This window comes from Homo sapiens, chromosome 2 (assembly GCF_000001405.40).
Source record: "Homo sapiens chromosome 2, GRCh38.p14 Primary Assembly".
Taxonomy (NCBI): Eukaryota; Metazoa; Chordata; class Mammalia; order Primates; family Hominidae; genus Homo; species Homo sapiens.
Window position 1 is genome coordinate 157,850,962 of NC_000002.12, and position 24,453 is coordinate 157,875,414.

Consider the following 24,453-nt stretch of genomic DNA (forward strand, 5'->3'; position numbering starts at 1 on the left):
AAAACAAAGAAAAGTTAGCTTAGCAGATCTGTTAACTTAACAGATCCATCTTAACTTAACAGATCTATCTTAACAGATTAGACAGATCTGTTAAGTTACTACATTCAAAGGGTGCTATTTCAAAAAACCCATATCTTCCCTAAAATGATAGAAATGGAATCCAATGCAAACTGCTATGGGCAGGACCTAGCAAACGGAAAGTTAACTTAAGGTAAATTTAAGATCCCATATGCAGTAAAGAGAATAAAAGACAAGGGTATAAGCAGACAAGGAGAGGTTGAGGAAGACAGGACCTAGCAGTACCATCTATGGAAAAAAACTGAGATTTCTGTGGGTGATCAACTCTTCAAGTAAAACCAAGTGGCCACCTGAAATATAGCAGTTTGAGCTGCATAATACAAGCATGGAAGTCAAAAAATCAGGAGAGAAAACCCAGTCAGGAATATTGCAATCAGCTCTAGAAACCAATTTTTAAAGACTCAATCAAACAGAAGTATGAGCAACAAGGCAGGCAGGATGGTGACGACCAGTGGAAGCTATGGAGACATTCTTAGAAAAAAGATATTAGGGGTGAATATGACAGCTCTAATCACATAAAAATACTATTATACTCTATATTCTGTATAGCTGAAAAGAACTGTGATCAAAGGATAAATAGAAGCTACATTTATTATAGGCCAAAAAACCCTCTGTCAGTCAGATTACTCCAAAGGCAGAGTGGGCTCCTAGTAGATATCGCATCCCCTAACTTTGTAGAATTTCAGTGAAGGCTGAGGATTCACTCAGAGGGTAAAATGCAGAGCAACTGCAGGTAATGGAGAGATGGGCTAAATAACTCTTCCCAATCTTGTGACCCTACCACTAAAAAGAGGACTCCTGAGAGGGAGACAGAGAAACACACACACACACACACACACACACACACACACACACACACACACACACACACCACCCCCACCCCACCCGCCCAGTCCTGGCATTTGGTAGGCACTTCCGAAACATGTAATACATGGGAGCAATGTAAGATTATTATGTTCTGAAGAAGACTACAGGCTGAAGAGGCAAGAGCATTGAATGTGGATTCATTTTTTAAAATGCTTCCTCAGGAAGGGGCTTATGAGAGGTATAGGCATCAAAACACTTTAAAGGACAGAATACTTAAGCCTATTTCCAAACTCAAGAGAAAAGGCCAATAAAGAGGACAAATTAGAGAGAATTGGGGAGAAAGAACAGAGTTGAAAAAAATAAAGAATAGGCCAGGTGCAGTGGCTCACACCTGTAATCCCAGCACTTTGGGAGGCCGAGGCGGGTGGATCGCTTGAGCTCAGAAATTCCAGACCAGCCTGGGCAACATGGCAAAACCCCATCTCTATAAAAAATACAAAAATTAGCTGGGCATGGTGGTGCATGGCTGTGGTCCCAGCTATAGGGAGGCTGATGTGGGAGAACTGCTTGAACTAGGGAGGTGGAGACTGCAGTGAACAGAGGTCATGCCACTGTACTATACAGCCTGGATGACAGAGCGAGAGCCTGTCTCAAAAAAAAAAAAAAGAAAAAAAAAAGAGCAAGACCTTGGAAAAAGAAAGGGAAACTAGACTCAAATATCAGGCACAAGTTAAGTGCTGCATAAAATGTTGAAGACAGATCTTCAGACATAAAAACAAAACTATGAAAAATATTATTTTAAATAGTTATTCAAACATACACAAGATAGGTACCAATTTTATCACAAACATCATCTGCCATAGTTATATGATCCTCTAAATGGTATTAATTCCCACAGAACTCCTAAAACCATCCACAGAAGATTCCTTTAAAACAATATAAATGTCATAGTATCAAAATTAGATAAAGCAGAGGGCTGTCGAACAGATTTAACACTCAGGCACTAGGTACTGAGAGTTCAGCTGTACCAACCTGCTGACCGGAAAACAATGAAAAGACCCAAAGCCTCTATAGTAAAGGGCATCAGTGGATTACTTTAATAAAAGGTAGGATGTGGAGATGTTCAAGGGAGAAAATTCTCTCATAAAACTTATTGTAGCTAGTAATATCCTAACAATAAGATCTCAAAACTAGAAGTTCAGTTAAATAACGACTTGTTCCATGCCCAAATATTTTTAAATCAAAATAGAGTAGCCAAATTATTGCTACTTACTTGAATTACTATAATATCCTTCCTGTTCCTAGTTTCACAATTACCCAAAAAATAAATAGATTGTATTAGTCTACTCAGGCTGCCATAATAAAACATCATAGATTGGGTGGCTTAAACAGAAATTTACTTTCCCACAGTTCTAGAGGCTAGAAGTCCAAGATCAGGATGCCTAGTGTCAGGTTCTAGTGAGGGTCCTCTTCCTGGCTAACAGGGGCAGCCTTCTTGCTGTGTCCTCATGTGGAAAGAGATAGCAAGTTCTCTGATATCTCTTCTTACAAGCTGACTAATCCCATCAGGAAGGTCCCGCCTTCATGACCTCACCTAAAGCTAATTACCTCCCAAAGACCTCATCTCCAAATAGCATCACACTGAGGGTCAGGGTTTCAGCACATCAATTGGGAAGGACAAAATTCAGTCTAAAGCTCAGATGAATAGACACCATTGAAAAAGAACCTTCTTAAAGCTGCTGCTCATAACCGTTCCAAAATCCAAATCTAATCTGATCCTTTTCCTCCCTAAAATCCAATAGCTAGCATATTTCAGGATAAGACCTGAATTGTTTAGGAAGCAATAAGTAGTCTTCATGACATAGCCATTACCCACCTCTCCAGCCTTATGTCACATCAATTCCCACAGGCACCCTAAGCTACAGTTCAACTAAACTACCTGCATTCCCAGCTGGTACTATGCTCTTCTTATGCCTTCTATCTTTACAATGAAGTTTCCCTATGCTAAAATGCCCTTCCTCTACATTACCAGGCTAACTTCTACTTATTCTTCAAGTCCTCACTTAATATCTTCCAGGGTCAGAAGCTTCCCTACATCCTTCTCCCTAACGCAGGTTAAGTTTCCCCCTCTGGGTCACTGCTGTACATTGTGCACACCCGCATTTGCCAAGCTGTACTGTAATCACTGATTTACGTGTTCCTTTTACTAAGCCATGAATTCTCTTGAAGCCAGGAATAGCACCTTTGGTCTCAGTGTCACCAACACATAATCAACACAGAGCCTAGCACATAGTTAGTATTCAAAAAATTTCAACAAATAAAAAAGCATGAATCAATCAGACCCTAAAGGAGTAAAAAAAAAAAAAAAAAAGAAGCATTTTTTTCTTCCTAACATTTCATACCTATCTTCCACACACATATTTCTAGCTAGTTATCTCTCTTGATTTGCACAAAGACTTGGTGATTATTTGATACCCAGCAAAATGGAACACAACATAAAAACATCACTGAAAGATCAAGAACAGAGATAGAGGAAGACAATGACAGTGTTCTGCCATCACACTGGCAAATCCAAAATGAAAAAAGAGTGTATCGGCCGGGTGCAGTGGCTCACGCCTGTAATCCCAGCCCTTTGGGAGGCCGAGGCGGGAGGATCACGAGGTCAGGAGATCAAGATCATCCTGGCTAACACGGTGAAACCCCATCTCTACTAAAAATACAAAAAAATTAGCCAGGCATGGTGGCGGGCACTTGTAGACCCAGCTCTTTGGGAGGCTGAGGCAGGAGAATGGCATGAACCCGGGAGGCAGAGCTTGCAGTGAGCCGAGATTGTGCCACTGCACTCCAGCCTGGGGGACAGAGTGAGACTCCGTCTCAAAAAAAAAAAAAAAGAGTGAATCTTTTTCAGGCCGGGTGCGACCGATGGCTCACACCTGTAATCTCAGCACTTTGGGAGGCTGAGGTGTGTGGATCACAAGGTCAGGAGATAAGAGACAATTCTGGTCAACATGGTAAAACCCCAACTCCACTAAAAATACAAAAATTAGCTGGGCATGGTGGTGCATGCCTGTAGTCCCAGCTACTCAGGAGGCTGAGGCAGAAGAATCGCTTGAACCCGGGAGGCAGAGGTTGCAGTGAGCCAAGATCGTGCCACTGCACTCCAGCCTGGCAACAGAGCAAGACACCATCTCAAAAATAAAATAAGTATATAAGACAAACCTTACACTCTCCCAATGTTACAGGCTAGTACACTGACTTTTAGCATTTTTCAAAAATGCCAACGAACTGGCCAGGCACAGTGGCTGACGCCTGTAATCTCAGCTCTTTGGGAGGCCAAGGAGGGCAGACTGCTTTGAGCTTAGGAGTTTGGGACCAGCCTGGGCAACATGGTGAAACCTCGTCTCTTAAAAAAAAAAAAAAAAAGTGTGTGTGTGTGTGTGTGTGTGTGTGTGTGTGTGTGTGTATATATATATATATACACACACACACACACACACACAAAAATTAGCCGGACGTGGTGGCTTTCATCTGTGGTCCCAGCTATTCAGGAGGCTGACATGGGAGGATCACTTTAGCCCAAAAAGTGGAGGTTGTGAGCCAAGATCGCGCCACTGTACTCCAGACTGGGCAACAGTCCATGCCAATGTCAATGAACAACTGATGAGTCCTCACAAAGGAAAACTCTGTCCCATTTGAATTACAGATGGCATTTTTAGGTTTTAAATCAAAGCACCTTCCCTAGAAGAATAACTCACTTGTGCCCCCCTCATCAGAAGTGCCAATGTTATACAAAGAGTCAGCAACACCGTGAGTGGTCTTGAGGGGGAAGAGCTTTATAAACTGTAAAGTCTGGGGGAAGAGCTTTATAAACTGTAAAGTCTGCCTCAAATGCCAGTGGTCATTACTGTCTGAATTATACTTGCAGGGTCAATGGTCCTTCAGCAAAAGGGTGGCTGCATCGAGTGGTGGGAAATGACTTGATGTTTTGTCTGACTCATACTTTTTTTTCCTCCCAAGAGGAACATGCTCCTCATGCTACATTTTCTGATGACCAAACATTAACTCATCCGCCTAAATCTCTTCAATGACTAAAAAGTTCCTCGCATCATCATGAAATAGTAGCTTGAAATTTTAATGTAAACACAAGGAATCAAATGCTTATTCCTCTTCCTCAACCTACGACACCCCAAAAACTTAAAAAAAAAAATACATTTCAGTGTAGTCTGAAGTACAGATTCTTTGACAAGACTCTACGAGACAGATTATATCCTCCCAGCCCTTAGTAGAGGTAGAAAAAAAGTGCTATAATGTGCTTTTTTCCTGTGGCTATAATTAAAGTTGAAAAAAGCCTTCAGTTCCCCCACTAAGATATCATCAGCTCTGCATTACTCCAATCTCATCCTCATATCCGTGCGGTCTGCTGTCTTAAAAGTGCCTCCACCTATTTCCAGTTTCCCCTGAGCAACTCCTGCCTGCTTTCAACTATTCACTCACTCAAAACTTCTCATCTCTTGTCCTAAAACTTGCTGATCCCAGTTCTGTATTCTCTTTCATCATTCTCCTTCCCCAAATCCTAGTGCCATATCTATAATGACTCATGGGAAAGATCATTACAAAAAATTAAAACTTGTCAGTGGCCCATTGTGATAAATGTGGAGAATGTTTAACACAAAACAACACCTCCCTCAATTCAAACTAACAAGTATTTATTGAGTGCCTGTGGTGTGCCCCGTGGTGGTTACAAAACATCATCTTTACTGGACTTGAGCTTTGTTACAGGGGCTAGTTCATTTTCAGGTCCTTCCATGCACATACAGAGAAGGGTCCCTTTGAAGTCCAGAGAGGTTTGGGCCGCTTCCACTATAGATGATTTCTGGTATCAAAAAATATTTTTTAAATGTAAAAATAGGATGACAAAAATTGTGTATGTTTTAAATATTTACAAAACATGCCAAGCAATACTATTGGGCTGGTCTCAAGATAATTACATGGTCCGATACTGAGACGCAAGTTCAAGGTTACATGATCCATGCTACCTTCTTTCAATCCTGTTGAAAATATACAATCCTGGGCCAGGTACAGTGGTTTACGCCTGTAATCCCAGCATTTTGGGAGGCTGAGGCAGGTGGATTGCTTGAGCCCAGGAGTTCAAGACCACCCTGGGCAACATGGTGAAATCCCGCTTCTATAAAAAATACAAAAATTAGCCAGGTGTGGTGGTACGCACTGTAGTCTCAGCTATTCAGGAGGCTGAAGTGGGAGGATCACCTGAGCCCAGGAGGTTGAGGCTGCAGTGAGCCATGATTGTGCCACTGCAATCCAGCCTGGGTGACAGGGTAAGACCCTGACTCAAAGAAAAAAAGAAAGAAAAAGAAAATACACAATTCTGGATATTTCTGGGACTCTGTGATACAAAGGTAATGTCAAGACAATGTGAAGTCCTTGTGTGTGGTAAAGCTTGGACCAAAGGGCTCTCCTACCCATCTCCGACACCCACGGTCTCAACAATGAACACATGGTCCCCGTCCTCAAGGAAATTATAAACTAATTGGAAAAAAAAAAAAAGAAGAAGATACCCTTCCCCCGTCTTCCTCCACCATAAGGAAGAAATACTGTACCAGAGAGACCAGAATTGCACCCTGGATCCATCACTAAATCATTCATCATCAGCAGGTCCTCCTTAATATATTTAAACCTCAAAGGCTTTTTTCTCCCTGTAAAATAAAATAATATCATTTTCTGCCCTGCCTCCGTACAAGGTTATTAAGAGGATCATGTAAAATGCAGTGTTGCTTTGGTAAACTACAAAGCCCTCCAGAAATGTGTACCACATATAGACAAAGGCTGAATACTTAATCACAAGCAGCCTTGTCAGCACCGTAAGAAATCCTAATGACATTTATAAGAATATCAATTCAGAAATTGAGATTGTTGTGTCTAGAGAATAACAGAGCAAACTTTAGGGAAGATGGAGAGAAAAGGTGAGTAGTTATGATTTCAAAATAAAGGGATTTTATGGAGCCCCAGGTAACTCTGGCACTTTTTCTGTGAATGTGTGAATGCTCCTTGTAATTTTTTCTTCCTTGTTGACATAACTTCCATGAGTAACCAGAAGATGACTACTCCCCAAACAAACCCATATTTATTCCCTAAGGTCCCACACTATGCCAGGCTTTTTCGTCAGTAAAAACTTAAAAAAAAAAAAGTCACTCGATCTAGTGGTCTCCTCCCTCTCAACCCACTAAAAGTTGGTTTCCTCCTTTATGCTAAACTTACGAACACTACTAATGATGACTAACTTACCAACAAAATGCCCTCTTGAGCTCTTCTCTTACTGGGTTCTCAGGGCTACCTGGGAGGAGCCTTCCCTTCCTCTCTATGGCGATAGGAGCCTCTCTTCAGTGTTCCTCCTACCTCTCAGGCTGTTCCCAGACTCTTCTCTCAAGGTCCTTCTCCAAGAACTCATCCCTTGGACCAAGGTGACAGATCCACCCTCTCCCCTTTCTCTCAGGAAATTCTGATCCCCACTTGAACTTTACCGCCTCCTGTACCAGGAAGCAGAGGCTCTCATCTGTATCTAGCCCTTTCCTCTCTAAGCTATTAAATATATTAATTGTTTTTCTTCTTTTTATTTTTATTTTTTGAGACACAGTCTTGCTCTGTCACCCAAGCTGGAGTGCAGTGGCGCAACCTTGGCTCACTGCAACCTCCATCTTGAGGGTTCAAGAGATTCTCCTGCCTCGGCCTCCCAACTAGCTGGGATTACTACTGGTTATGGATTACATAACCATTACGCCCTGCTAATTTTTCTATTTTTGTCGAGACGGGGTTTCACCATGTTGGCCAGGCTGGTCTTGAACTCCTGACCCCAGGTGATCCGCCAGCCTCAGCCTCCCAAAGTGCTGGGATTACAGGCCTGAGCCACTGCACCTGGCCTATTTTTAATTTTTTTAATAGAGACAGGGTCTTACTATGTTGCCCAGGCTGATTTCCTACTCCTGGCCTAAAGCAATCCTCCTGCTTCGGCCTCCCTAAGTGCTAGAATTACAAGCATGAGCCAGCATGCCCCATCTGTTTTTCTTCCGACAACTCACCAGACAGCTCTACTTGGACATCCCAAGTCCTCTCAAATACAGCCTGTCACCTTACTGCATTCCCCACACCTTCCTGTTCTGTTATGTGATTGTCAGAGGCATTTGAATCAGAGCAACTCCATCTTGAATAGGGGCTGAGTAAAATAAGGCTGAGACCTACTGGGCTGCATTCCGAGACAGTTAGGCATTCTAAGTCACAGGATGAAATAGGAGGTCGGCACAAGATGCGGGTCATAAAGACCTCACTGATAAAACAGGTTGCGGTAAAGAAGCCAGCCAAAACTCACCAAAACCAAGATGGTGACGAGAGTGACCTCTGGTCGTCCTCACTGCTATGCTCCCACCAGCGCCATGACAGTTTACAAATGCCACGGCAATGTCAGGAAGTTATCCTATATGGTCTAAAAAGGGGAGACATCAATAATCCACCCCTTGTTTAAAAAATAATTCGGAAATAACCACAAAAATGGGCAACCAGCAGCCCTTGGGGGGCTATGCCTATGGAGGAGCCATTCTTCCTTTACTTTCTTAATAAACTTGCTTCACTTTACTCTATGGACTCGCCTCCAATTTTTTCTTGCGCGAGTCCAAGAATCCTCTCTTGGGGTCTGGATTGGGACCCCTTTCCAGTAACATGATCATCATCTACCCCCAGATTGCCTGCAGTTATCAGATTCTCCTTTTCCTACTCTATTCCACCCTACAGATCAGATCAATCACCACATCTCATGGGCTCAGACTCCCAAACAGCCCTGAAATCTGCAATATCCTTTCCAGCCACACCACTCACCAAATAAGTTCCAGCCCCCTAATTTGTGCCCACACTTCGATTATCCCCCTAAGTGTTTCCCAAAGTGTGGAACATGTACAACTGGTGGTCGCCTCACATGCTGCTAGGTGATTCTTCAACTTTTTTTTCTTTTTAATGGTCGTTTTTTGTATTATAGATTATACTTAAGAAATAAATTCTTAAGTAGCATCTCAAGACTACATTTCCACAGGTATAATTGCTTTGAACAAACTTTCATGACGTTTGAATAACCTGAGGACCTTTTGAAAAGTCTACCCCATACCCCAAGGGCCAATACATACCCCAGACCAATTAAATCACAACCTCATGAGGTGGGCACAGGCTCAGGTCTAGAAACTCCCCAGGTGCTTCCAATGCAGACAAGTTTGGGGACCAGTCCATGAAAATGAGACTGAAACAGGAATTGAAGGAAAGAAGGCTGAGCCCACCTAAAGAAAATAAAGCAAATAGTAATATATGTGGTAAACTGCCAGGAAGGGTACCCACCAACTCCACCCCAATTTGCCCACTTCGGCAGTGAAAGTCTGGCATCCCAGGATATCCCTCAGTCTCCGCTAAACCCGGACAGTCAGTCACCCTACTCAGGTAAGGCAAAGTGTCTAAGGTTTAGGAAGCAGCGCTGGCATTCTCCAAAATGTGTTCAGCAGAATGCTACCCACCACCCCTAGGGTATTAACAGCTGTGAGGCTACAAAGACTTCCACTGTGGAACAAATGTGGAACACCCTAGGGATATTCCAGGATAAGTGGTTAAGCTAATGGTTTTCTTCAAAGCCAATTTCTCAAAACTTTCAATTTACTATGATACTTTACATTGTCCAAGAGAAGAATATAATATCCTGCATTTTTCAAACTTATTTGAGGACCTTTTTTGGTGAAGCACCTTATACACTATTAAGGTTTCAAGAAAGCTTCTTGGCAGATGCTGCTCTACATATACTTCCAGACAATTTTTAGAAAATATAAATCTAATAATGTCACTTCTTCATTATCAACTTTTTGCTAGAAAAAAAAAAATCCAATCTCCTTTGCAGGTGGTCGACTTTCCAAGCTCTCCCATCCTTTACCCCTTCCTACGCTCAAGTCCAATGTTTCTCAAACTTTTAGAAGCATTCAGATCACTGGGGGATACTGCTGCAAAGCTGATTCTGATCCAGCAGGATTTGAGGTAAGCCTGAGACTCTGTGTTTCTATTGATGCCATCACTGCTGACCCAAGGACCACACGCTGAGTAGCAAGGTTCTAGCCATATTCAGTTTTAAAGGTTGCTGTCTCTACTGAAAGCCTCTGTGCCTAGAAGGCCCTTTCCCCACCTGACAACATCCTACTTAACCTTGAAGACACTCAAGAACATCAGTTCCCTGAGATGACCTCCAGTGCCCTCAAACAGAACTGTACATCCCAATTTTATGTTTAGAGCTCTAATGTGGCACTTCACTTTACTGTACATTGGCTATTTCTTTTTCTGCCTCTGCCAAGCTGAGCTCTCTGACAGCCTTTCTGTCTATATCCTCAGTGCCTGGCACACAGTAGCTACTTAATAAATCTATATAGAAGGATAGAATGGCCATGAAAAGGAGATAATATGTGAACTTTGTTGAAGGAGACGTTCAGAAAATAAGGCTGTTATGCAACATCAAGTCTGTCAGTTCGGAGTTGTGTGGTTGGGGACCTTCAGCAGGAGACAGAATGAGATTCTATGCCATCATTGCATACAGTCCTATCACAAAGGAATAGCACCACGCATTTTTATACTATATAAAAATAAAATAAAATTCCCAGGTTTCTTGACATGAAAACTAAATCCAGGTAATCTTCTGTTTAACATTTAACAGACTAAAAATCAACAGGCACAGTAGGAAATGAACCACCATTTCACCTCTAAATCTGTGTTCATCCACTTTATGGAGAATCCTTCTGACAATTCTAAGTTTAAACAAATCTTTGTGAAAAGAGTATTCCAGCAGGTTTAATGTAGTCACAGCTGTCAAAATCACGGGCAATGCATCATACTTAAGAGAGCATTTGAAAATGTGTCAATAATTATAATTACACACTTGTAGCAGATCTAATATACTTTCACCACCCTTTAACTTCAACTGATGTGAAATTAAAGCTAGTTACTTAAAAATGCAACTCTTAGATCATAATTTAATCCTAAAGTAGATATAAAACCTGTCACACTAGAGAGGTACAGTACATTTTACTCAAGAGGATAAAAGGCCACGGCATTATAATACATCATTTTAGGTAAGGTGACCACCTTTAATGTGGAAAGGGTAAAATACATTATCTAGCTGACATAATTTTGAATATTTACTTTATCCATTTGTATTTAAAGATTGTCTCTTCAAAATTATGCATGACCCACAGCACAGAGATAACTGCTAAACTTTAGGATTATTTCCTACCAATCTTTTTTTTCTCTACATCCATATATATACGTTAACTACAAATATGAAAGTGTACTATGTTTCATGTTTATGTTTATGGAACTGTACTACAGAACTGTACATAATTTATATGAAAGGAATTATACTATGTTTTGAGTGTCCTGCTTTTTTCATGTAATATTTTGTGTACTCTCTATAGTCATTCATTCATTGCAACAATTTCTGTGTGCCTCCTATGCATAAGACAGCATACTAGGCACAGGATAAACATATACACATACACACACACACACACACACACACACACACACACACAGAGTACAAAACAGACATACCTTGTATTTACTAATATATATATAAGGTAGTATCTGTAAGATACGGAAAATAATTAAGGCTCAAACTAGATGGAATAGCCAACAAAAGCCTCTTTGAAAAGGTAACTACTGGCCGGGCGCGGTGGCTCACGCCTGTAATCCCAGCACTTTGGGAGGCCGAGGCGGGCGGATCACGAGGTCAGGAGATCGAGACCATCCCAGCTAAAACGGTGAAACCCCGTCTCTACTAAAAATACAAAAAATTAGCCGGGCGTAGTGGCGGGCGCCTGTAGTCCCAGCTACTTGGGAGGCTGAGGCAGGAGAATGGCGTGAACCCGGGAGGCGGAGCTTGCAGTGAGCCGAGATCCCGCCACTGCACTCCAGCCTGGGCGACAGAGCGAGACTCCGTCTCAAAAAAAAAAAAAAAGAAAAGGTAACTACTTTTAAAATGAGATCTGTCTCTGAAAATTCATCAAAAATAGTATTTTTAGTGATTACATAAAATTCCATTCTATGAATATATATAAACCTAACCGCTGCTGTAGAACATTTACTTTTTTTTTTTTTTTTTTTTTTTTTTTTTTGAGACAGTCTCACTCTGTCACCCAGGCTGGAATGCGGTGGTGCGATCTCGGCTCACTGCAACCTCCATCTCCCAGGTACTCCTGCCTCAGCCTCCCAAGTAGCTGGGATTACAGGTGTGCACCACCATACTTGGCTAATTTTTATATTTTTAGTAGTGATGAGGTTTCACCATGATGGCCAGGTTGGTCTCGAATTCCTGACCTCAGGTGATCTGGCCTCCTCTGCCTCCCAAAGGGTTGGGATTACAGGCGTGAGCCACCATGCCCAGCCTATAGAACAGTTAAATTGTTTCTCTTTTTTTTTTTTTTTTTTTTTTTTTTTTTTTGCTACTCTACACCTAGTTGAATACATTTGTATACTTACAGAGATTCAGGCAGGGCTCAGTGGCTCACGCCTGTAATCCCAGCACTTTGGGAGGCCGAGGCCAGCGGATCACCTGTGGTCAGGAGTTCGAGACCAGCCTGGCCAACAGGGCAAAACCCCATCTCTACTAAAAATACAAAAATTAGCTGGGTGCAGTGGTGCATGCCTGTAATCCCACCTACTTAGGAGGCTGAGGCATGAGAATCGCTTGAACCCAGGAGGCAGAGGTTGCAGTAAGCCGAGATCACGCCACTGCACTTCCAGCCTGGCAACAGAGCAAGACTCCATCTCAAGAAAAAAAATAAAAAGAGAGAGAGAAAGATTTAGTAAGTGATTTTCCTAAAATGAGTAACTAAGGGCTCAAAAATTTTCCAGAAGAAATGCATTTATATTAACAACCCAAATTCCAAGTCTTTTAACTTGGAATCCAAATACATTGCTTAATGTTGCAGGAGCAAATTCTTTTTTTTTTTTTTTTTTGAGATGGAGTCTCGCTCTGTCACCCAGGTTGGAGTGCCATCTCGGCTCACTGCAACCTCCGCCTCCTGAGTTCAAGAGATTCTCCTGCCTCAGCCTCCCGAGTAGCTGGGACTAGATGCATGCCACCATGCCCGACTAAATTTTTGTATTTTTTTAAATAGAGACGGGGTTTCACACCATGTTAGTCAGGATGGTCTCGATCTCCTGACCTCGTGATCTGCCTGCCTCAGCCTCCCAAAGTGCTGGGATTACAGGCGTGAGCCACCGTGCCCTGCCTTGCAGGAGCAAATTCTAAAGAAAAAATGCAGTATGGGAAATAAAGAAATTTATATTATTTTTTTTTTTGAGACAGGAGTCTGTCACCCAGCCTGTATGGGGTACAGTGGCATAATCATGGCTCACTGCAGCCATGACCTCCCTGTTCAAGTAATCCTCCCACCTCAGCCTCCTGAGTAGCTGGGTCTACAGCCACATGCCACCACACCTTACTAATTTTTAAAAAAATTTTTGTAGAGACACAGTTTTACTATGTTGCCCAGGTTAACCTCAAACTCCTGCACTCAAGGAATCCTCTTGCCTTGGCCTCCCAAAGTGCTGTGATTACAGGTGTGATCCACTATAATCACACTTGGACACCACACTTGGCCAAATTCCCATTAAATTTTGTTTACTTGGGTTTCAGTTTTTAAATAGATCTAGTTTGACAATCAGCAGGAAATCCAATCATCTTTTTAAGCAATACTGGCTAAATATCTCAAAATTTCCAAAAATTCCTATTTTACCTTCACATTACAAAATATCAAAAGCTCAAAAGATCAAATTCAAAAGATCAGTTCAAAAGATCAAAAGCTACCTCTTATGGTCTGTTCCGAAGTCATAAATAAAATTTTGCTGTTTCTTAAAAACTGTCTATCATAGCCCTACTGCTTTTTTTACAGCTATTATAAAAATAAAACTTTTTCCTTAAGTCTAAAAATCCATTGCCTCCACTCTTGATCAATAATAAAAAGCTGACTATATGAGTTTCCTGGTCACTAAATGCCTACTTACCACTCACCATATTTTTTTTTTTTTAAAAAGGTGATCAGCCATATAAGCTCTGCTTTTAATGTAAAGCACACACCAGACATAGTGCTTTAAAACAATCAAAGTAAAGCTGTGCTTAGCAAGGCTTCCAAAGCCCAGAGTTCTTTATAGACTCAAACTTACACAGGAAAAAAAAAAAAAAAAAAATCATAAAGCTCCATTTACTGGAAGGACCAAAAAAGAGTGAGACTGAGAGAATCAACAAATTACTAAACTTTAGAAATAACTAAGCCTGTGCCCTTCTTAACAAATGAGGAAAGGAAAGCACCACAAAGACAAAGGTTAAGAAAATGACTTTCTTAGGCCACACAATTGGTTTACACCAGACAACAGGCTAGCATTTGAGTCTTAAGGGTCATCCTCTCGTTATCACCACACCACATTGCTTCACAAATAAAAAGCAAAAATCCAATTCACGGCACAACCTATACTGAAATTTAAAATGCAAATATCCCTTGATTCAGCAATTCCAATCCTTGGTATTTATCTCCAGATACACAGGAGATAGATGATTGATAGATAGATAGACAGACAGATAGGCAGGGCGCGGTGGTTCACGCCTGTAATCCCAGCACTTTGGGAGGCCGAGGCGGGCAGATCACCTGAGGTCGGGAGTTGGAGACCAGCCTGGCCAACATGGAGAAACCCTGTCTCTACTTAAAAATAAAAAATTAGCCGGGCGTGGTGGCGCATGCTTGTAATCCCAGCTACTCGGGAGGCTGAGGCAGGAGAATCACTTGAACCCGGGAGGCAGAGGTTGTTGCAGTGAGCCGATATCGCGCCACTGCACTCCAGCCCGGGCAAAAAGAGGGAAACTCCATCTCAAAAAAAAAAAAAAGAAAAAGAAAAAAGATAGATAGATAGATAGATAGATAGATAGATAGATAGATAGATTGACTGATTGATTTCTGCAGGCGTGGGGATATATTTCAAGACCCCCAGTGAATGCCCGAAACCTCAGGTAGTACTGAACTCTATCTATGGACAGTCCCTGAATTAAAACGGTTTCACTGTACACCCTTCCTGTACTTCAAATCTTGTATTGTGCACACATATTCCTGTCATAATATGACTAGTATCAAAAACATAAAACAAAATAATAAAGTTATTTTATTTCTAGGAAAAAATGTATAGGAACTCATATTACTGTGCACATGTAATGAAATAAAGCTATCTAGGAACGAAAAACAAAAACACCAATTTGAATTAAACCAAAAATGTCAGAGTTGTATGGCCCCAGAAGGAGACAAGCCTCTATGAGAACAAAAGAAATGCCCTCCTGGAAGATTTCCATGTACAACACTCACATCTGAGACAGATTCACCGCACTTGGGCTTAGAATGTCCTAAAACAATAAGACTTTTAGGGATCAAAAGGGAACCAAGTAGGAGAAGAGAGAGGAGCTGAGGTGGACACAGCTGATTAAGAAACAATAAGTTGGAGGGAATCCTAAGCAAACAAGCCAAGGGAGGCGGGGGGGAAAGCTTCTCTGAATTTGAAAAGGACATTCCATTCTAAACTGGTTAAAAGCAAGGATAAATCTCAAGCAGAGAGCATTTTCCTCTGGCATTTTTTTCCCCATCTTGGAGCTCCGGCAACTTCTTTTTCACATTTTATATCATCTATGATACCAAGAAAAGGTCACTATTAGAATCAGTTTTACCTTAATAAGGCTCAGTGAAATAGGCACAGACATAAGATACAGGTGTCACCCATCAAACAGCATGTCTGCCTTTGATTCTATGAGCAGATGTTTTATCAGTTTCCCATGTTCAAAAGTTGGAGACTGTTATTTTACTCCTCTATTCGGATAAACATTTGATTTATTTGCAAGATATGGCACTTGACCCCAAAAAGTCAATAACAGACTTTGAACTGTTTGTAGCTGGTTCATTTTATCATTCAGACCTCAACCCACTTCTTCCCATTTCCAAAAGGAAGCTCTCCCCCAGGACATTCTCATCCTCTCACCAATCACCAGTACAAATCCAATAGCCAATACAAAGCCAAAGCCCCAAACCCTATCTCCAGAGTTTCAGTTCCATTTTCCCAGCTTCTCACAGGGCTCAAGTAAGCATTCTTCTGGGTTCTTGCTCTCCCAGAACCTCAAACCCAACGCCACAATCCATTCCAACCCAGGTGCTCTTGGCAACCTTCCATTTTCTTTTAAGAGCAACACCATTCTCCCAGTCATCCAGGTTCCAAAAGTCACATATGTTTGCCCAACCCCTACCCTCCCTCTCATTGCAAAAGTAATTTATTCACCAAGCCCTATGGCTTCTCCAGCCCAAGGCTAAAACCCTAGTTCCATCTATTCTCATTTCCTCCTGGCTTCTGGGCATCCCACTCCACTAGACCAATCATCCTTGGCTAACAGAAGGCTATGTGCCAAGGCCTCAAACTCATACACCTATAGGGTCAATCCAGTTAGCCTACAGGAACAAACAAACAAACCTGTCAGTGCAAGAACAATAAACAGCAACTAACACCGAGCCTCAGTGTCTGGGAGAAAACAGGATGAACTGAGACAGTAGCAGCCACAGCACACACATCTCCCTCAGACAGACATGGTCAAAAGATCTGGCAGTTTCTTGCAGGAAGGAATATGGCCCTGGGGCTGCCAGAGTTTTCAGTGTTGCAGGAGCAGCTGGACATTTCGATTTTTTTTTTATGAAAATGTCCCCCATTTTTACATGTTAGCAACCATGTTTTTTTTTTTTTAATGTTTTAAATACAGTATCAAACAGGACAGAACTCTGAGGTATACTGAGCTCAGAGACCACCAGTTTTCAACCTCTGCTCTGGTGCACTGATGGTGATGTGGGAATTTACAGCCTGAGTTAAAGTTCAGATGTGTAACCTTAGACATTCATATCACCTCTCTATGCCTCAGTTTCTCCTTCTATAAAATGGGCATTAGAGCAGGTACTTCATGGAGTGTGAGTGAGCATTAAATGAGATAATGAAAGGGGCCAGACCAAGGCCTGCTTTCATGCCTTAACTTCCAGCCTGTCATTCAAAGTAAGCCATAATGTGCCTCTAAATCTCCCTTTCTAAGCTTGCTCCTATGGTGCTCATCTTGATGTGCTCTACAGAGTCAAGTCACATCACAAAGCACTTTTAACTGTGAATGTGCTGTTCCTTTCGGTTGTCTAAGGTCTCGCATGCCACCCTGAGAAGCTGCATCCCAGGACACATAGTCTGAGACTAGTGATTAAAAATATGTGCAACTGCCAGGCACGGTGGCTAGCGCCTGTAATCCCAGCACTCTGGGAGGCCGAGGTGGGTGAATCACGAGGTCAGGACTTCAAGACCAGCCTGGCCAACATGGTGAAACCCCATCTCTACTAAAAATGAAAAAAAAAAATAGCTGGGCATGGTGGTGAGTGCCTGTAATCCCAGCTACTCGGGAGGCTGAGGCAGGAGAATCGCTTCAACCCAAGGTGGAAGTTGCAGTGAGCCGAGATCGCGCCACGGCACTCCAGCCCAGGTGACAGTGCGAGACTCCATCTCAAAAAAAAAAAAAAAATCTGCAACTATCTTTTCTATAACTTGGCCTCTAAATAAAAAACAAGCCCCTTATATTTACTTGCCCCATTCTCTCTTTTTGGAATGTTGCCTATGCTACAACCTATACACATACAGATACCTCTCAAAATAACATCCAATTGGTACCTCTTTCAGAGGCCAGCCAAACAGCCACCTCCTTAAAGGTGTTGGTTGATCCTCTGTAACTTGTGACCAAGATATTCAGAGTTCTGCCACTAATAGTTACATGTATAATTATTCACTCCCTTACTCAAGTGCACCTTAATATTAACTTGACAATAACTGAGCTTTCTATGCCCAACCTTACCTAGAGGAAGACTTGATAAATGCTCAATAAATAAGGGACAAAGAAGACGGGAAAAGATGAAGGAAGAGGAAAGCAAGATTTTAATGATAAGGACAATGACAACAATTAAGCTCTTGTGTCTTTGAATGCAAAGAGCTGTCCCTACTAACCACATGCTTTCATTTTTTATTTCTGAACAATATATGGGGGTCATCTTCCCCACCTCCCTCTCATCCTTTGGGTGTGTGTAACCTCAGCTTCCCCTTATTCCTGAAAGTCAACAACCTCTTCAAGTATAATCTAAATAAACAGGGAGTTAAGTGGCTCCTGCCACCATTCTAAATGAATCAGCCCCACCTTTGATGCTGATGGGGATCAAGATGATGATGATGATGCACACTGGAGCTGGTCCAAATCACGTATTACTCACTTTAATCTGATTTGGAAACAATACACAGAAAAAATAATCTGGCAAGGGAGAGGGGCATAGGGGTAAGAACTTTCTATAGAATGACAGAAATCCACACAAAAAGAAAACGAAAGTCTCATCCAGACTAGCAACTATTCAATAAACAAACTAAGGCTAATTTCCACAATACCTAGAACAGTTTTTTCTCTAACTGCTTATTAGGACCCATTAGCAAGTTGTAAAATCAGTTTAGTATATAAAGACTAGAATTTTTAAAATAAAAATTGAATATTAATTAAAAAGCATTATAATATTTTTGTAGAACTTGTAATTCAGCTTTATTTTTAACACCTGTGCACATGCATATGTGTTTGTGTGTGTACCAGGTCATGATATAAAATGTACTGCTGAGTGTTAAAATGTTTTAAAAATACTGAAATAGAACATTTATGTTTATATAAAGTAATCTCTGCTGACTGAGCTTTTCTGTTTTTTACTAGGCCATCCTCATAATATATTTGTTCTTGCCACCTATTGTTCACAACAACTTGGGTTCTTCAAGTTCAAGATAAGCATATGAAAACTGTATGAAAAATAGCACTGGGCACATGTGTCCCTTACTCCTGAAAAGGAAGGTGTCACTCTAGATAACCACCTACACTTTCACTCCTATGCATATTTCTATCTTGTGTAAGTCCCTGACATCAAGACAAGGGATATTCATCCCTAAGCTCCTGCCTTTATGGTCATGTTTGCTTATATGCATTAACTCACTACTTACAGAGAGTAAATCAAGCACATCTTACTTTCACCCCAAGCGTAGCCAACACTCATCAATAGCTGCAATAGTGGAAGTTTCGGAACTTGGTTTAAAACATCACTCAACCCATCCCTTCTATTCCAGAATGCTTTTTCTCAAGTTCTTCTTATTGCACATTTTCCTCAGTACCCACGTTCCAAACTCTCAAGTATCGTCCCATTTCTAATATCCAACTTTGCCCAAGATCACCCCACCTTCGTTCTCCCCTCTGTACATTTCTAAAGTTCAAGGTTATATTTTGGAGGGCCTATCAATATTCTTCCAGAACTGGCTAAAACGGAATCCCCCAAATCAAAGTAATCTTGCTTTTCGATGGCATGGTGATATTAATAGCCAATCTTGGCTTTCATAGATGAGCAAAAGCACACACCCATCAAGTATTCAAGATGAAAAGTTATATGTGGTATGTCCACTGATTTCAGCCCTTAAAAATCTCTCAAAAGAGGAGTTTACTTTGGATTCCACCCATTTTCCAAAGAGGTCACCTACATTTTTCCACCTCTCACATAAGCATGGCCCACCACTACGTTTTCACTGTCAACTGTTTGGAAACATATGCAACAGGAAAAAGTCAAGAGTAAAGTAATTGATTCACTGAGTGTCTGGGTCCTAACTATAAATAATGAAGGATTCCCTGCTCTGTGGGATATAAAAAATTAGTGAGATATTCTTCTCAAAAATGGAAGCATCACTCTTAAATATAAAAAGAAAGAAAGAAACATATGCTGAAAAGAACACAATAAATGTTTGTGGAATTGACTAAGCACAGGTTACAACATTAAGCACTGAGAAGAGGTATCAAAAGCAGTTCCTTCTACATAGAATGTCTTTCGTCCCCACTTTCCAAACTCATCCTTACGGACCACAGTGACTGGTATCATCTTGTCAGCAATCTCCCTGGTTCCCTAGAAGACTAGGTCCCTTTGCTCCCTTAATATGCAATCATCCATTCATTCTCTCGGCAATTCAAAAACAATTTATTGACTGTGTGGTCTAGGCCAGGCATTGTGTTAGGTGCAAAAGTTACACAAAAGATGAATAAGACAGTCCCTTGCCTCAAGGAGCCCAGGGAGAGAATTTGAAAGGTTTTAAGTTGGTGAAGAGCAATGACTTGTGTAGAAAGAATCAATGGAGGAATGAACAACTTGAAGTCCTTGCCCTCAAAGAGATCAATCACATCCCAGAATAAGAAATGGGGATGATAAAACCTAGGAGACTGTCGAAAGGCAAAATGGCAAAATCCAGAAAGCATTCTTGCTTGCAGTAAGATTACTCTGAGCCTTGAAGAATCTGGGTCCCCCAAAAAGGAGGGGAGTGAGGGGCAATGCAGAGACCAGAACAGCCAGGGTTTGGCCTCAAGATGAATGAGAACTGACCTTGGGTGATCCCTCAGGACACTTATGCTAAAAGTGGTCTCACCCCATCCCCCTCTTCAAAACAACTTTCACCTACTGCACAAACCTCCACAAAATTTAGGAAGACTGAAATTTAAAGTTACTTTCCCAGTCACAGAAATAAAGGCCAAATACCCAGAGTCAACAATGAAGTAACTCTAATGGGCAAAGTGGAATGTTGGTCAGAGAGTGAAACCCAAAAATCAAACAACTGAATAGCCGTGGCTCTGGAAAACAAAGCTCTGATGGATCACATAAGAGCCTTTATACATATAAACAATCTCACATTTCCAGAACTGCCTAGAAGCGCACAGGAATAGTATTCGAATGTGTGGTTAGTTTGAATATTAGGGGCAGAGGGTGTATTTGTGTTAACTCAGAAAAGGAAGCTGCCGAATATCTTATTAGTTAATTTTGAGAGTGTGAGTTCAAGCAAAACTACCTCCCATCTGAACCAAAGGCTGTGATGTGCCAACCACACCAAACTGATGAGGCTCTTTCAAAAGGAGTCTTTCATTTGAATGTCCTTCCAACAGACAAACCCTAGTTTAGAACTTCTGATTCTTAAACTTAACATGGCAAGCAAGAGCATTCTATGGCCAACTGCTAAAAATGAGGAGGTAAATCTTCCATTTGGTTCTTCTGAGAGCTGGAATTGGCCACAGAAAGAAACACAAAGTTTTCACTCCAAAAGATCAAAGAAGGTATTTTGTACCAGGAAACCCAATTCCAAATCCTCATTTCCAGGAATAAAGCCACAGTGCCCGGTGCTTGCTTGGGAAAATAAAACAGGAGATTCTGCGGATTCCAATTAAAATTTCTGATGGCTTTATTTCCCAGCCTCACCAGTTTAATGTTGTTAACATTTCATCCAGGCCCTGCTTTAACTTAAATACTGCTTCCAGCTCTGAATGGTCACACCTTACTACTGGGTAAAAAGGAAGGTGTCTTAACACTTCATGACAGTATTCTTTGCCCCATCCCAAGTGCTAGATATATAAGACAAGGTGATGCTGAAAAGTGCTAGCTTCAGCCCAGCCTGTGTCTCCCATAACTACAGCCAGGTGAAACCTCACTGCAGCCCACACTATTTAGTTGCAATATTGGAAAGGAGAGTAGAAGCAGGAGAAAATAGGGGAGGAGGGGGACATACCTCAACCTTATTCAAATATAACAAACAATGAGCTTGCTTTACAATTATTTCCTGGGGTCTTATCGATCAGCCAGTAGTTACTGTGTGCCCACTGCAAACAAGGCACCAAGCTAAATCTATAGTCAGCATAGTGCAGTAAAATATTCCCTAAGTAATCATTATGTTAATGGTTATGTGTTTAATTTTCTTTATCATTTTAGAAAAAATGTATTGTGTATGTAGGTTATAAAGTCTAAAAATAAAATCAGCACCTATGAACCCATCACCCAATCCAAAAACCAGAACATCACCAACACTGTATCATCTACCTACTTCCTCCATTTTTATTCCAGGTCCCTGCAACATACACACACTCCACATAATCATTATTCTGAAGTTGGGGTTTCGGTGCAAGTACAAACGCATATTTATGACTACCTCCTATTCCTAACAAGTGAGTTGGCTTTCCAAATATGGTAGTAATACATAATTTCCTCTCAAAAAAATGATGTCTTTAGGTTCTTTTCTTTAAGTGAATCATTGCTTTAAAGAAAAATATTAATAGAGTAAGTGGGACTCAGCCATGGTAAACTCAGGAAGACAGTATGTGAGTGAATGAACTTTGACAATCACTGGCAAAAGTGGCCAAGAACATGAGTTCTGAAGTCCTGCAGACCTCTGGTTCAAATCCCCATTCTACCACTGAAATTTGCCAAGCCTCAATTTCTTATTGTAGGACGGTAAAATAATAATAAGACATATGGTGTTTGTGGAAATGTCATGAAAAAGTACCTGTGAAGAGCTGAGCCCAGTGCCTAGCACATATCCAGCACCCCTAAACTATCCTGTCATTAAAGCCACCCAAACATATCAAAGAGTTTTGCCACCATCAGTGGTTTGCTTCTCCAGAATTCCTACTGAGTTGGGCATGAGATCGCTTCACATAAAAATAAATCAAGATGCAGAGATCCAAGAGCAGAACAAGCCACAGACTACAGCTCCCAGCCCCAGCATTGATTCCATCTTCACCTCATGACCTTGAAGAGCAGAATCATTTTTCAAATCCATTTCTGTCCTGTCCCCCCTCCCTCAGAAGACTGGACTACTCAATCCAAGCCTGAGAATTACCTAGAAGCCTATCATGACAATCATGGGACTAGTTCAGTCCAATCTAGGGCAAGATAGAGGCATAACCTCTATCTCCTGACTCAATCTCTGTTATACCTTCCTTGGACACATGAAGAAAACTGGCAAATCACTACTTTGAAAAAAATTCGTTACAAATCTATTAATCAAATTAAGTTCCTCACTTCTGAAATTAATACATTACATTCCTGAATATGGCATCTTTACTCTGAATCCTTAATATTCCTTTAAATTCCTCACAGATAACAACAAACTTGCTAGAATTCAAATGATCACTCTCTTCCAAGGTACAAAAGTTGTAAGACTACTATCTAAATCAAGTTTTATTTAAAACCACCCTCTCCATTTCAAGTAAAACTCAACAACACAGCTGGAAAAGGAGGGCATGAACCCAATCTATAATCATCCCAATCCTTAGTCTTTGTCACCTATCCAGAATTTATCTATCCATCATTCACCACCTGTGAGTACCTGCATAAGGGGTAATAGCAGAAATGCTATTATCCAACACCCAGTTACATCAACTTAAGGCCTAGATTTCAGCTTCAAAAGAATTCCATTTTTTAAAATTCCAAGACAGAAAATAAAAACAAGTGAATCATAAAATAAGTGATCGAGGTCCCATCCAGGCATAAGATAACCTCCTGACCCCTATGTCCCCATCAGTGAAATGGATGAGGCCCATATTTCAAACTTAAGCAGTCTGCACACTATGAAGCTGCATGGCGAGGCCGATGTCTGAGGTCAGCACAAGTCTAGTGTCTGCTGGCTGCCCAAGCCTGGGCCCCTGGCCAGCAACCCACCTCCAGAGACAAGTGCCAGGACATACTATAGTGTTTCCATTTAAGGCCCGCCACTTGGATCAGCCCATCTCTGAAATTTCTTAACACCACCTTTCCAGGAAGAATTTTTTTGGGGAAAAGGGAGGTGGTGTCTATTTTTTGCCACCGCCTTCCCTTGGGCTGTCAGAGCAATCTGCATCTCTGGGACAGGATTCTTTAAAACCACTGGGTTATGTCTCAATTCATGGGCCTCTTCTCAAAAATATGTAAAAACATGTATGGAACGGGCCCCTTTGCCCATCATCTAACTCTTATCATACATCCCTCAAAAAAGAAAGAAAAGCCCAATAAAATTGACAAGTCCATTGTATTACCTTGCTGCCTCTCTCCAAAAGCCAAATTCATGACAACTTTTTAACCAAGACTTTTCTTCTGTTACTAAGTGGAACGTTTTCTTCTCTAAGTAGCTTTTCTCCCATGCAAGCAGCGTTCAAATCTCCAGGGGAAAGGAGGGGTGGGGAGGGGGTGGGAGACTATCTGGCACAAACTGGACAGAGCCGAGCCAGTCTAGAACCCGACGGAAGTTACTGAATCCAGCGGCCCCAGAGGCCCACATCTCTTCTTAGTGCGCCCGAGGTTCTAGCCTCACTGTTTTGGTTACAGTGTTGAAGGAAGGGTTTTAAACTTGGCAAAGTACCGTGCAACATCTGTAACCACATTTGCCTTCTGGGGATCGGAAGATGAATCCCACATTCCTGGCTTTGAAGCTTTTTGAAACTGCAGCTAGGAAGAACCGAGGGAGGGAGGGAGTTGAGCAGAGTTTATTGGCTGTCTCTCCAGCAGAAAATTCCTCTTGGAAGAGATGGATATTTTGAGGGTGGGGGAAATTCGCCTATCTATCTCCTTACTCTCTACAAGCTCAGCT

The 24,453-nt window shown here is 41.5% G+C and overlaps 1 protein-coding gene and 1 long non-coding RNA gene across 7 annotated transcripts in view; one reads left to right on the forward strand and one right to left on the reverse strand.

Moving 5' to 3' along the window:
- The window catches only part of ACVR1 (activin A receptor type 1), a 139,885-nt gene that overhangs the window by 114,516 nt on the left and 916 nt on the right, over positions 1–24,453 (reverse strand). Inside the window, exon 2 of one of the 6 annotated variants that reach the window (NM_001347666.1) lies at positions 9,072–9,218. The exons of 4 other annotated variants lie outside the window; for them this stretch is intronic. The gene's annotated coding sequence lies outside the window, so the exon portion shown is untranslated. Of the gene's footprint in view, positions 1–9,071; positions 9,219–23,902; positions 24,039–24,453 lie in introns of those variants that run through there. One more of the 6 variants, NM_001105.5, reaches the window with a different exon arrangement.
- Positions 7,502–12,417, forward strand: LOC124907899 (uncharacterized). Its single transcript, XR_007087271.1, has 2 exons — positions 7,502–11,618; positions 11,930–12,417. It is a non-coding gene; the product is annotated as an uncharacterized LOC124907899 (long non-coding RNA).